The sequence below is a fragment of the Homo sapiens genome, chromosome 9 (assembly GCF_000001405.40).
Source record: "Homo sapiens chromosome 9, GRCh38.p14 Primary Assembly".
NCBI lineage: Eukaryota > Metazoa > Chordata > Mammalia > Primates > Hominidae > Homo > Homo sapiens.
This window is the reverse complement of record NC_000009.12, coordinates 114,879,290-114,880,978: the sequence shown is the minus strand read 5'-3', so window position 1 is coordinate 114,880,978 and position 1,689 is coordinate 114,879,290. Positions and strand designations below refer to the sequence as shown.

Genomic DNA, 1,689 nt, shown 5'->3' with positions numbered 1-1,689 from the left:
TAATCCTGACAACCTGAACTCTTGGCTCAGTTTTCTGTCCACCCCAACTCCTGTCATTATCATCACTGGTCTCAACATCCAGCACCCTGGTGTTGCCATTCCCATTCCACCTTTTCCTCCACTCTATCTCATCTGCCCACTCCGACAGTCACAGCTTGAATCTTCTCATCAGCAGAAACAATATCACCTGTGAAATGTCAGCTTAAACATCCCACTCCCTGACCACCACCTTCCATCAGTCCAGATCACATGCTGCAGAACAGCCCCACCACTCCCACCACAAATCTTTGACGTCATCCTCCTGTCCCCACAATTTTCTCATGGCTCTCCTGACTTCTCTTCCCTCTTGTTCATCCTAGATTTCATGAATAATCATTTCAGTTACTTCCTGGCAAATCCTACCAACTCATTCACTCATATCCTCCTTCATCATACTTTCCTGCAAACACCAGACATCTTCCTCCTTGAGGCTGACCCCAAGCAGCTGTATGTTGCTAGAGGAAACAATTGCACAACTGAGATGATGGGTTTCTTGTTAATGTGGTGATCCCAAGAATTAGTAGGGCTTTACCACTGCACAGAGAGCTGATCATCTTTCTCTGACAGGATCACCTTCCCACTCCCCAAGGTGAATAACTTCTCTCTCCCACATCTCCTCCTACATATATCATTTCTTTCCTCATACTTAAGAAAAAAACAGAATTCACCAGAAGCAAACTCTGAGCTTCTCACCACCCATGCTCAAGCTTACAATATCTGTACTCACCTTCTCTTCTTTTTAACCTGTTATGGTGGAGGATGTGTCCCCAGGCCTAATGAAGGCCAACTCTCCTCTTGGGCACTGAATTCCATCCCATGAATTCATCCCTGCCTTCTAAAAGACTGTACCTCCTTAGTTATGTTCTCTCCTGGAATAGAGTCAGTCCTTCCTTTCTCCCTACAAAACCACTCCCATCAGCAAGCAAACATGCTCTACTGCCTACCTTTTTGAAAAGGCAAATCTTCACCCCTCCAGTTTCTGTACCATCTCTCTATCCCTTACTCACAGCCAAACTCACCAAGAAATATATCTACACAATATGTGTAAATTCTCACTTCACCTTATTCCTCTTTTACTTACTATGTTATTCTAGAAAATTAAAAAATAGAGAAGGAATTGGATATTTACCTGTGTATTTTTTGATAAATTTTAAAAAGACACACACAAAATGCACAACAGAGGTTGCCACTATGGTGGGCGCAGCAGAATAAAACTAGAAGCATAACACAGAAGAGAACTTCAGCATCATCCTTTTATTCTCAATGATGCTCTCTGCTCTGCCTTCCACCTCCACACCCAGTGGAAACTGATCTTGTTACAATCATCCATCAACAAACCTCATGTTTTCAAATCCAATGGACATCACTTGGTCTTTGTTTTACTCAGCCTCCCAGTGTCTGTCACAGTGCCTAGCACATGCTTTTCTCTGGGCTTGCATATACCACCTCGCTAGGACACCTTTCTTAGTTACCTGGCCATTTCCTCCTCATCTACCTGAACTTAGCGTTCTTGGGAGGATTTTTTCTTCCATTATCTCTTCTATGATCATGGCTTCCAGTGCCATCTATCGGCTGTAACTGCTGCATTAGTCCATTATCACACTGCTAATAAAGACATATCTGTGACTGGGTAATTTATAAAGGACAGAC

At 43.2% G+C, this 1,689-nt stretch overlaps 1 annotated feature.

Moving 5' to 3' along the window:
- Nucleotides 356-650: a silencer, noted in NCBI's record as "tiled region #6981; HepG2 Repressive non-DNase unmatched - State 23:Low". NCBI's record gives its function as "represses a minimal TATA promoter and a strong SV40 promoter by Sharpr-MPRA in HepG2 cells {active_cell/tissue: HepG2}" and the evidence as "EXISTENCE:reporter gene assay evidence [ECO:0000049][PMID:27701403]".